The sequence below is a fragment of the Homo sapiens genome, chromosome 9, assembly GCF_000001405.40.
Source record: "Homo sapiens chromosome 9, GRCh38.p14 Primary Assembly".
NCBI lineage: Eukaryota > Metazoa > Chordata > Mammalia > Primates > Hominidae > Homo > Homo sapiens.
Genome location: NC_000009.12, coordinates 74,371,420 through 74,383,783, shown reverse-complemented (window position 1 = coordinate 74,383,783; position 12,364 = coordinate 74,371,420). Strand labels below are relative to the sequence as shown.

At 37.4% G+C, this 12,364-nt stretch overlaps 1 long non-coding RNA gene across 1 annotated transcript; it reads right to left on the bottom strand.

The window, feature by feature from the left end:
• Nucleotides 1–253: 253 nt before the first annotated feature.
• On the bottom strand, nt 254–12,253 carry LOC101927358 (uncharacterized). The gene is made up of 3 exons (NR_121182.1): nt 12,030–12,253; nt 11,297–11,612; nt 254–361 (listed from the first exon to the last, which is right to left on the bottom strand). It is a non-coding gene; the product is annotated as an uncharacterized LOC101927358 (long non-coding RNA).
• Nucleotides 12,254–12,364: the final 111 nt, after the last annotated feature.

Here is a 12,364-nt window from a genome sequence, read left to right as displayed (position 1 = left end):
GATATGGGTGTGGGGAAAAGACTGGGAAGTATTTGAGTTTCTGCTTCCTGTAGTTTCTGAGGCCCAGAAACTTTGATTTCGATCCTGAGGATTCAAGAAAGAGCCACTGTCTTCTTTTGGCCTAACTTGTTGTGTGATGGATTCCTGTCCTTTGTAAGAAAGAATACTTCATTTAGAAGTTGTCATTTCCAAGCAAAAAGGTAAATTGAATCACAAGAGGTTACGCTTAAAATAAGTCTAGCAAAGGCCTTCAGAGTTTGTGTTCTATTTTAATTTAAGCTTTTCTTTGCAGAGGCTTCATTGTGTGTTGGGGGGTCACTTAGAATCACTTAGATCTCGAGTTCCATCACAGCTCTGTTATCTGCAGGGTTTGGAAGTTAAAAATGTCATGTAAATTTCCTAAGGCTCAATTTTCTCCTCTTTATTGAAGGACTATATCATTTATCATACAGTGTTGTTTAAGAATTGACGTGAAAAATAAAAGTACGTAGCAGAGTCTGTCTGATTTTAGTGTGTTTAAATTTCAAAACACATTTTCTAATTTTGAAAGACATCCCCCAAACATGATGTATTTACAATAAGATATATATAACAAGCATAAAAACAAACAAAAAATTAAGATTTTGCAAAAGAAGGAAAAGAAATTGTCAGGACCAGTATAATTGCTGAGTCTATTAGCCATGGTTCTCCAGAGAAACAGAACCAATAGTAGATATTTATATTTATATATATCTGCTGTATATATATTTATATATCTGCTAAATAGATATATTTGTACATATATGCTGTATACATATGTTTCTATATATATGTTGCTCTCTCGGTATATATATATATTTCTTAATACACATATCTGCAGGGTAGTTGGGAGGCTGGGGACCCAGACTCACAATTCAGATTCAAATGCAGCCTGCTGGCAGAATTCTCTTTTTCTTGAGAAAGATCAGTCTTTTTATATTAAGGTATTTCACTGATTGGATGAAGCCAACCCACATTGTGGAGAATAATTTGTTTCATTTGTTTTATTTATTCAAAGTTTACTGCTTTAAATGTTCACTGCACCTAAAAAAATCTTCACAGAAACGTCTAGAATAATGTTTGATCCAGTATCTGGCTACCATGGCCTAATCAAATTGACACATATAATTAACCATCTCATCAAGACTGATTTTATTATCTATTTATTTATTTAGAGACAGGGTCTTGCTCTGTTGCCTGGGCAGATTGTACAATGGCACAATCATAGCTCATTGCAACCTTGGCCCCTTGGCTCATGATCCTCCCACCTGAGCCTTCTGAATAGCCAGGACTACAGGTGCATACCACCAGGCCCAGCTAGTTTTTAAAATTTTTTTCAGAGACAGGGTCTCGCTATATTGCTAGGGCCGGTCTCAAACTCCTGGGCTCAAACGATCCTCCTGCTTTGGCCTGCCAAACTGCTGGGATTACGGGTGCGAGCCACCACACATGGCCCTAAGACTGATTTTAAATTTAATTTTGAGCTTCCTAGTAAGCCTAGGAAAAAAGAGAGATATATCTTTTATGCAGTCTTTTATTAAGACAATTTTCTTAGTAGAGACCGTTTTTCCATACATTAAATTCCAAAATATGGTATGGTTTCTCATATATAATTTTGTATTTTGGACCTTGACTGATATCATAGGCAAGGCTTTTAAGAATTATTGTTTTATAATTAATGGAGAAGCAATTTTGGTATGGCTGTTTCTGGGAAAGGTTCTCTGTAAAATCAATGAAGGTTATTCTCCCTAGGATCCTTAATTGGTGATTTGCTTTTGGGTACATTTCTAACTCCCACACCCCTCTCATGAGTTGGAGCAAATTTATAAATATGTAGCTGCTTTACTTCTTCATGGCTTGACTAAATCAACTTTTTAGATATCTTTGAATTTGGAAAAATGCCATCTCCTGCATCCAATCTGTCACCAAATTCTGTCATTTCTGACTCCAATATTCTTTAAAAACTGTACATTCCACTCCCTGCTGTTGCCAGTGTCTTAGTTTAATCTGTTATTGTTTCTCACATGAACCTAGGCAATAATTTCCAAACTTATCTCTGCTCCTTCTTTGGTCACTTCAAATGCTGTCTTTACACAGACATCAGACGGCCCCTTTTTGGGACACAGTTATCATGCTACTTTTCTGTTTAACAATTATCTTTGATGTCCCAATAAATAAAAAATAGAGTTTCAGCATCTCATGTACCTTAACCTTTGACCATATCAAATTATTTAGAATACTTAGAAAATGCCATCACTTAGAGAGTTCTGCCTCTGCAGATTGCTGTTTCCTCTGCTTGGAGTACTCTGTCCTCCCAACTAGCCTAGACAAATCCCAGTCATTCTTTAAGACTCAACTTAAAGGCCATCTCCTTTGTCAGACCTTCCCTGACACATGTAAGCAAGAAGTCACACTCCTTCCTCCTTCCCCCAGATCAACTTTAACATTTGAGTTACATCTCCTTGGGTGTCAGGGTCTGAAATTAAGGCATAAAGTGGAAATCACAAATAGTTATATCACCCTTGAAAATACCTTAAATAGCCCATCAAATAGAACATGTTAAGTCTACATTGATGCCACATTGAGACTGACATACTATTGCTCCGTGAGTCCTACATAGAGCATGCTTCCCTCAGATATTGGGACCAGTTTGCGCTTTCATGAATTAAGCACACGTAAAGCAGTTGGATTATGTGTAGTTTATGTTTCGTGGTTATATATAATAAAGACACATAGTGTCTTTAAAACTAGACACGTACTCAGTGCTCCACACTGAGAGGTACATGCATGAGGAGCTAAGGCTGAGAACCACTGACCGCCATCTTCTGTCACACGCATGCGGTAGGGTGTATGCTCACTGAAAGGAACAGTGTGGGGAATTAGCTGCACATTTAAACTGTTTCTTTCTGTTTTCTCTCCCTCTCTCTTGTGCCATACTCAGGAGTTTAGTACAAACACAACAAATGATTATACTCTATGGTGCATAACTTAATTCTAGTCTATTAACCTAGCTAGGACACTCACATTGTGATACAAATTTTCGTTTGATGCTCAGGAATCCCCAGGCCATCAGAGTAGAAAGCTCCATGAATACAGACCTATATTTTTATATCTATTTCCTTTCCTCATACATTATTAGGACTTTAGTGGTCATTTCATGAATCAGTTGATAGAAGGCAAAGGACAAGGCATTGAAATTTCCTTCAGCTTTCACTGGGAACTTTCAGTATGATGAGAGGGAAATTTAACATGTCTGGTCATTTGTGACAAGGTTCTGCATAGGAATAAAAATAGTCTATTTGATAGGCTTGTGAAAGATAATATAGGACAGATAAAATACCGCATAAATGCTAAATAATAAAGTGACAAGCACAGTATGTCAGGGGACGCATAGTAATGCAACTATGTCTGTAAAACATTTACTGTATTTTGTCTCTGAAATGTACAACAACAACAACCCACCAAATGGCGGCATCTGTGCTTATTTCCTCCCTGGTCCTCGATATTTGGAATCCTTTCAATGTTCAATGCCCAAAAATGCAATAAATATTTTTACTTTGGTACATCTATATTTTAACACTGGAGTTGGTACCAGCCAGGATTGTGGGGTTACTCACATCATGTGACTCTCCTCCCACCATTCAATGTGTTTACAAGTGAAAACTGATAAAATGAGCATCGAAGGCAGCCTGGGAGGGAGAATGAATGGGAGAAGGCATTGCAGAATGCATACTGAGGGCTAAGTGTGGAAGGCCCAAGAAGGGGGTGGGTACTGTTTATAGGCAATCTTATTAGAAGTGGTGGGAGGAGCAGAAAGTGGGAGAGTAGGTATGTACAAGCTCTGATCTCTTTGAGCACCAGGTGGCACTACTGCCTTCTCTCTTGGCTGCTGCCTACCTGTGTCAGGGGAATTCCAGAAACAGATTTTGTAGGAAAGGCTAGAAGATTAAGAACCTATATGGGTCAAGAGAGAAATGGGTAGACAATACAGAGATCAGAATGTTTCTTATTGATCAAATCCTAGGAATGACTGTAATCACGGCACTCTGCCAATTTTTAGCATTTCACCAGCCATCAAGGGACATGATTTGATATTGTTAAACAAATTTATGAATAAGAGACATTGTTTAGCTTAGGGTATTACTAGCTAGTAAATGTATTAGTAAGTTGCCAAGTTCCTAGAGGCAGAGAAATGTGTAGGAAACCAACCAACCAACCAGCCAAACTAAACCAAAACAAAATCAATCACTACAAGTTACTTAACACATATGTAACAGTAGATTGGAGGGTATGTATCTGCTTGTTGTATCAAGAAGATTCCTTCTCTTAGGCAGTAGGTGGTTTTTTGAGTAGTCAGTTTCTGTGAATGGGATAACTGATCTAATTCCCCTTTTCTTACTTGCTATTAGTAAGTTTAGAAGTAAATATGGGAGCCATTTGTAGCCGGTATAACATTTTGCAAGATTGTAAACACATTTTAGCCGCATCCCCAGGCTTTACCTTTCATCTTGCTTCTACATCTCACACAATATTTTACATTATATTTCACTTTCACTTTTAATTTGTTATATTGTATATGTTTATATGCTCTGGAAAGAGCATATCCTAAGTTTATATGCTTATATCCTAAGTTTACATGCTCCGGAAAGCTCCTCTAAATACTTTCTGAAATAAGGAAAGGAAGACATATAATTAATTATGTAATTATAACAAATTTCCATTGGATGTACATTGCTAAATACCAAGAATCAATAGAATTGCTCCTTCCCTCAAGAAGTTTACAACCAAATAATGGACTTACTAGAAAATGTGCACTAAATAAAAATTTTTTTCTTAAAAATATAAGTTTTTGGAGTAGAGATATCTAAGAGTAAACACAAGGGAAAAAGGGATACTTGATTCCATGATTAACTTCGTATTTCTACTGTTGGCTTTGCATGGCCTCAGGCAAGATGTGTAACTGTCTCCGGCATCAATTTTTCAATAGTAAAAGGCAGATTCACCTCGGGACAAACACTTGGATAGGCTACAGTGATGAAAGGCATGGTGTGCTGTAACATTTGACTATTGCTATGTAACATTTGATTATAATCTCACTCTCAGCAAAACTAGTAGGAGAAAAGATCAATTTAAGTCACATACTAAAAGGAAAAAAATGTGTTTTGACTGAAATTCAGCACATTTTCTATAGGAAAGTGCCACACTATAGAGGCTATGGGTATAGTAGATGCTGTTTTTATTTTTAAGCTTCTATTTACAACAGTTTGAGACAAATATTCAAAATTGTGTTCTTCATGTAAGAAAGTAAATGTTTTTGGAAAAAAATACAACATAAGCTTTTTTTTTGAGGATTTTAGGCTGGAAGAGAACGAAGCTAAAGAGAGTAAAATTGGGAATATTCTCCACAGGCTACTTTTCAGAAAATTTTAGAGCAACCAATAACAAAACTATTTGCTATTGCATTGAAATTAATATTTTCTTTTTTTGTTTATTAATTTTTTATTCTTTTAAAACAGATATGTAACTGATATGCCAGGGTGCATTACTTTGTAGAAATGGTAGTGTGATTATTTTGGGATAAATGAAGAAGAAAAGAGGTGGAAACTACAAAGGAAGGAATGGAGCTTGATTCTTACCTTTACTTAGGCTCAGTGACTTCATGGAAAACCATAGGCCATAGACAGTGGCACCTAATAGGCTTTGGTGTCAGATAGAGCTGAGTGGAACTCAGCTTAGTCTGTGGCACTGGGCAAGTTCCTTCAGTTGATTCTTGGATTCTTTGTAAAAAGTGGGCACAATAACATCAGCCTCATTGAAAGAATAAGAAAGATGCATGAAGTTTCTAGTTCAGGGCCAGACGAGGCTTATGGTAGATGCTCACTGGATGGCAACTAATAAGGTGGGACATTCATTCAAAAATCATCTCCTTTTATTTCTATTTAGGAGAGGACAGGAAATGGTAGCTTTGCATCACAGCTTTACTTCATAGTGGGTGGCAGATGACTTTAGGTAAAGTATGTTAGTGGTCCATCAACTGCTGCGCAAGGCCAGTCTCCTACTAGTCGTTCTCCAGTTTTGAAAAGTCACTTCTTCCAAGCTCTCATTTGCCTTTGAAATCTGTTTTGATCAATAGCTAGCTTCCATGAGGTCTAGACTTATCTGCCTTCCTTATTCATATTCAGAGGGCAGGGGCCATGTTTTATAAAATTTCATAGTAGGCAGCACACAATCATACATTTTACTTTTTCCTAATGACATAATTTATTTTAATGCAAGCTTGTCAGCCAGGGCATTGAAAGATCAGCCTGATACCGTAGTTCTTTTTTCACTTTTATTCCTTGACCTGCTTGCCCTAGGTCACTAGTGAGAAAGTCAGCACTTTTTGAACACATTACTCTGTGTAAAGCACATCCTGTTCAGCACATTACAAACAAAGGGGGAACAGCTCAGGTGTTCATCAGGTGGGTAATACATAAAACTTTGTTAAGTTTTCAGGAATTATAATTTCTCTCTACTTTGAATCCCCTATAGCTCACTGAGTTATACCCATGAAGAAATAAAAATAAAATTCTAAGACCCCAACCAACTGAATGGACCATTTCTTTGCCAAGGGGATGCCAAAGAAAACTTGGAAGCTGAGCCCCTGGCCATGACAGGATGTGAGGATGTACATGTCCCATTATATCCTTTCCCTTGCTAACCACTCTTAGGCTTTCTTCCCTAAGGGGTAAACAGAAACAAGCCCTTTGGAGAAATTTTACTGCTGATTTCACCCAACTGCCTAACTACTGCCACTCCCTTTTGCAGTTTCTGCACAACCAATCAGCATTCCTTCTCCATAAGAAACCACTGACCACGAAGTGGTTCTGGCCAGTCTTCGAAGAACGAGCAGTGAGGGTTTTTGTGTCCTCTGCTTCACCTTTTGATGTCAGAGGGCTGAAAACTTCACTCTCAGATCATGTTAATGCCGCCATTTTTGAAGATGGGGTCCCATGGAGAGGCATGAACTCAATTGCACCTGCCCATGTTTCTCCTTTCATAAATATTCATGACTCCTCCTATAGCTTATTGAATATGTATAGTCAGCCACCTCATTCCGCATACATCTCTGTCTTATTCTTCCCACCCTCGAAATGTCTGTTTCTGGCTTCTGGAAGGAGGCTATGTTTCCCAGCCTGTCAGAATGGCCACCCTGCAGGCTGCAATCCTTTATGAGAAATAAAGCTCCACTTTAAAAATGTATGAACCTTTTCATTCATCAGTTGACACCACTTAATCAAATTGGGGCTCTTTTTCTTCTTTAATTTCATGCTTTGCATTTTCATTCAGGGGTCTTAGAAAATGCTAGGATTTGAACCTAATTCCTGGTAACTTCATCTATCAGTGCTGATGTCCACTGAAATATTATTATACAGGTCTGATTCTGAGAGTTTGGTCAATGCAGCTCACCACCTAGACTGCCTTCATGGCTCCCTGCAAAACCTCTCAGTCTGAGTCCAAGTTCCTGACACTGCCAGGCTCTCAGGACATATTCAGCTGCTCCTTTACAACTCCAGAGACAGAGATCTGCTTCCATGTGCTTCTCAGCTTCCTGGGCTCTTTCCTTTACTGCCATTCAATCCTCCCAAACCTAGAAGCGAAGGTTTAATTAAATCCTTTCTCAAGGAAACTGAGGCTCAGAGAAGTTCAGGAACTTGTCCACTGTCATATAGTTCACAAAGGGAGGAGTACACTTTCAGAGCAAAGTCCAACTAAATTCATGATTCGAGTTTCTCCCATTATGCTGGACTGCCTCAACGATTTCAGCTAAGTCTCAGGTCTTTTTAATTCTCATGCTGAAACCTATCATCTATTACTAACTTTTAATAGTTTAACTCTTATTTTTAGTTACATGTCACCTTGGAAAGTAAAAACTGGAGCTTTAAAGGCATGTTTCTCAAAATGTGGTAGTCTACATCAGAATTACCTGGACTAATTGTTAAAATATTTATTCTTAGGCCCAATCATAGCCCTACAGAATCATTATTTCTACTGGGCCATGGAATCTGTATTATTACTAAGCTCACCTAATAACTACTATTCATGTCAGATTTAGTAGATTATTTCTTTAACATGTGTAAGCAAGTTTATTTTGATCTTAGTAAGGAGAGTGAGAAATAATTGAAATATGAGGTGCTAAGGCTTTGAATTGGTTTCTCACGCTAGCTAACTATTGAAAATTTTGGATATGGAGGAATGACCTTAATATTGGGAAAAGAAGAAGAAAACAGAAGAACAACAGATGGGTTCCTGAGACCTGAGACAAATTTCCTCTACTTCTTGATTTTGCCTGCAGGCAATTCCCTGTGAGAGTGGATGAACTGGTGAGAAAATGTATTTGAAATTTAAACCTACAGTAACTTTTGGGTTAAGAACTATATTCCCAAATGAAATAACTTTGTTATTATTTTTAACTCCCCCTGCCCAAATACCCTAAGGACTTAAGCTGCTTGATATAGCAGTCTAGGTGCTCACTTTCAGAACCAAGACAGCTTTTCTATTTTATTCTTCACATCACAGTAAAACTGTTAGATGGGCTGAATGCCTGGGTTCAAAATTTCAGAAATTTGCACCTAAATTGCACCTGTAAAATATGTCCTCACACATGCAAGTGAGTCATTTTACTTGCAAATTATTGTTTCGCATATGCAATTACTTGCTTGCATCTGGATATACATTTTGTGGGACAATTAAGTGTTTACGTTAGAAAATTAGATCACTAATTTTATGTTCATTTTTATAAGACTTAGAACTTAAACTACCAGAATGTTTTTAGACAGATCAGTATTGCATATGGTCTAAATTGTGAGGGAGAAGTACATTCTTTCATCCATTCATTTGTTAATTTACAAATATATTCTGAATGCCTACTGTGAGTCAGCTGATGTAGTAGATGCTAAACTTACAGTGATAAACAAATAGTCTTGCCTACGGACATGGAGATTAACACTATGTACAGTTGTGTTTAGAGAGACCAGAAATTTGTTAGTATCTTGTTTGATAACTTCAAAATATGCAGTTTTCATTTAAATCTCAGGCTATTGTCTAATATGTGCCATATCAAGTTGAAAACTGACAGTTTTCATTTCTCACTACTTTCACTGATGGAATGAATAATAAAATGGGGGAGTCATTTTTTATTTGATTTTGCTTTCCTCCTAATTTACAAATTAGTATGGTAAGTTTATATGTCTTTTGTGCAATCGTTGGGCTCTAGATCAGATAGTCTGTGGATGATTAATAGAAGTATAATTTGGTGAAAATTAAAGGCTGATGATGGTCTTTGAATGAATGCCCTTCCTGTGGGAAGATATTCAGGGGTTTTGCAACACTTGACACTTGTATACTTTTCTCTGGGTAAAATCTATATTTTAGAGTGCTTAGTTTGTTGGGATAATGACTTCAAGATTAGAGAGACATTGTATTACACACCTACACATTTCTTCATAAACAAAAATATATCAATACACCTGCACACATATGTACCTTGTGTCTATAAAGTCTGTGTAAAACACTGGTCTTTTAAATCTATCAATTTATCATTCAGGACCTAATTATAATAATACATTTATAGATATTTTGGGTTGAAAGAAACTTGAAAGTATTTTTTATTTAGTTCCCTTACTTTACAAATAAGTAAACTGGGGCCTGAGGAGGTTAAAAGAACTTTAAGGATTACACAGAAGCTAAGGCAGAGTAGAGACTAAAATCTGGTATATAGGCATTCATTATTTTTTGAAAAATATCTTTCATGAAGAAATGTAATGGAAACCAACTAACATTACCCTTGCAGATCCTATGGTGATGTTGAATGTGGCTCTTCTTTAAATAAATGTGGGAGGAAGAGAAAAATTATACAAAATCAGAGAAGAGTCAGAAAAGCATAAGTTTGTCTTCTCTGTTAGATGCTGCTTTTTCTAGTAACCACAAAGCTTGACATACATTAAGGGCAAATAAAGATGAGAGATGCAGTGATGGTAAAGGGAAGGAATAGGGAGGGAGATATCTGGAAATTTTATGTACTTACACAATGTTTTGTTTTGTTGCAATCAGGGTCCCAACAGAAAACAGATGTCAAGCATAAATTAAGAATATTCCAAGAAAATGTATTTACATAAGAACCAATTACAGAAGTGTGGGCTTGATAGAAACCACAAGAAATAGTACAGTAACACTGGATTAGTAACCATGGAGCTGGTACCACCTCTAGGCCCAGGGGAATGAGGAGAGAGAGAGTGATTACTAGGACCCAGAAGGAGCAAATTTTCTTGAGAGGGCTGTCTTGAGAGGAGCAGTGACCTTCATTGGAGAGACACAGCCAGGTTGAGGCAGGGGATCCCAGCAGAAAAAATCCTGTAATGTTGTTTTCTACTCATCTCTGATTTCTTGCTGATATCCCCATTGTTAATTCTAACGAAGCCAGAAAGCAAGGAAGAGCCCATTAATGTCATCTGCCAGTGGGGAAGAAGGCAGGTGGAAAGGTGTAGGTAGGGATTTGGAGTTGCAAACAAATGGCACAAAGTATATTCTTCCAAAAAGAAGTCAAGCACTTTTACAAGAATATATAGAATGTTAGAAAATGGCATACATTAAAATACTGTGAAAGAAAAAAAGAAAGAAAAAGAACTGATGCCATTGAAACTAAAAGACTGATTTATACAATTGCTCACACCAGATGGAAAATTATTTATCTCTAATGTAATCGTTCAGAGATAGGTGGGTAGTCTAGGGTCAGCTCTGCTCAGTGAGGCCATTGTTCTTTCTTTTTGCTTTGATCAGCACCACACCATGTTTAAATTTTAGTCTGTAGGAAGATCAAATTACGGTGTGGGGAGCGAGCAGCTTCCCCTTAAGGAAGTGGCTGAGACATTATACATCTCTCTTCTGTAGCTCCTCGGAGTCCCTGGGTGTTGGACCCTTCTGTGACCTCCAGCTATTTGATTCACTTTGCCTGTCTGTTAGGTCTGGCAGTTGGACACCTAGGGCAGATTCAGCCTTTTGCCCTCAGAAAGCTCTCTACTTGGCCTCTACTGATCAGCCAGGCTTCATACCTAAATTGTTTGGCTGTGTCATCCTATCTGAACTTAGGTGAATGCCAGAGCACATGGTGTTGGGGCTCTGAGTGCCTGCCAATGGGTCAAATACAATCTAGGTGTGCAGGTAATTCTCCAGGGGGTAAGTTTGGACCAACATAGAAGAATGGAGGAAACCCGGTTTCTCTCTTCTTTATCATACGTACCCTTTCATAGTCCTTATCAAATTCTTTGAAGCACAGTGTTTCTTGGTAGTCCATCTGGAGAAGTTCTATGCATGAAATAGATGCAACTGCCAAACAATCAGCTTTGTGTTGTTGAAACATCATTTTACATCTTGCATAGCTCACTTGCCTTTGTCCTCATCCTGGATCCTCTGAATTTATGCCTTGCCAAAAAGCATCTTCCTTTCATCCTTGATTCAGGCTTTGTGTTCTAGGGAAGCTGATATAGAACACATCTATTCGCATTTAGTTGATCAGTCCTGGTCCGTGATAAAACTTGAAGTAGAGAAGTGTTTTGCTGAATAAGAAAAATGAGAAAATTATGGAATTTTGGGAATAGTGAGAAATTTTTGCCAAAGAAGAAGAAAATAAAGTCAGGAATGAGACCAAAACAACAACAACAACAACAACAACAAATCTAAAACAAAATAAAATGTGTAACAAAACTCTTTATATCAAGTAGATAAAAAACTTGATTTAACTTTTACAGAAGCCACCACAAAAAAGAAAATATTATTTATTTTTGTGTTCATGATACAATGAGAAGGAAAAAAAACACACACAAACCCAAATCTTTAGGAAAATTCCAAATTCGTTGTATAAATTTCAATTAAATTTTCTTTCTGAATCCTGTATCACTTATGAATACTATCAGAAATAAATAACAATGTATGACTAATAGTGACTTCATAATGAAGATATTTGAGTATCTCACTCAATAGGAAGTATAGAGGTAAGCATCCAAAGGTTTATTTGGTGGCCCTTCAGGATCACTAACGATCCAAGTTATTTTCATCTTTTGCTCTCCTATCTTCAGTACGTTGCTTTTGATCCTTTAGTTTGTCTTCTCTTGGTGGTGAGATGCCTGCCAGTATTCCAACTATCAAAGGTAGGAAGTGGGGAAGGAAGTACAGGGCAGGAGAGAATTTCTGCTCTAATGGCTTTCATGGGATTGCGGAAGGTCTTTCCTGGAATTCCCCTACATCAACTTCTGTTTATGTCACACTGGCCAGAACTGGGTCATCATGGCCATTCAAACCTGCAAGAGAG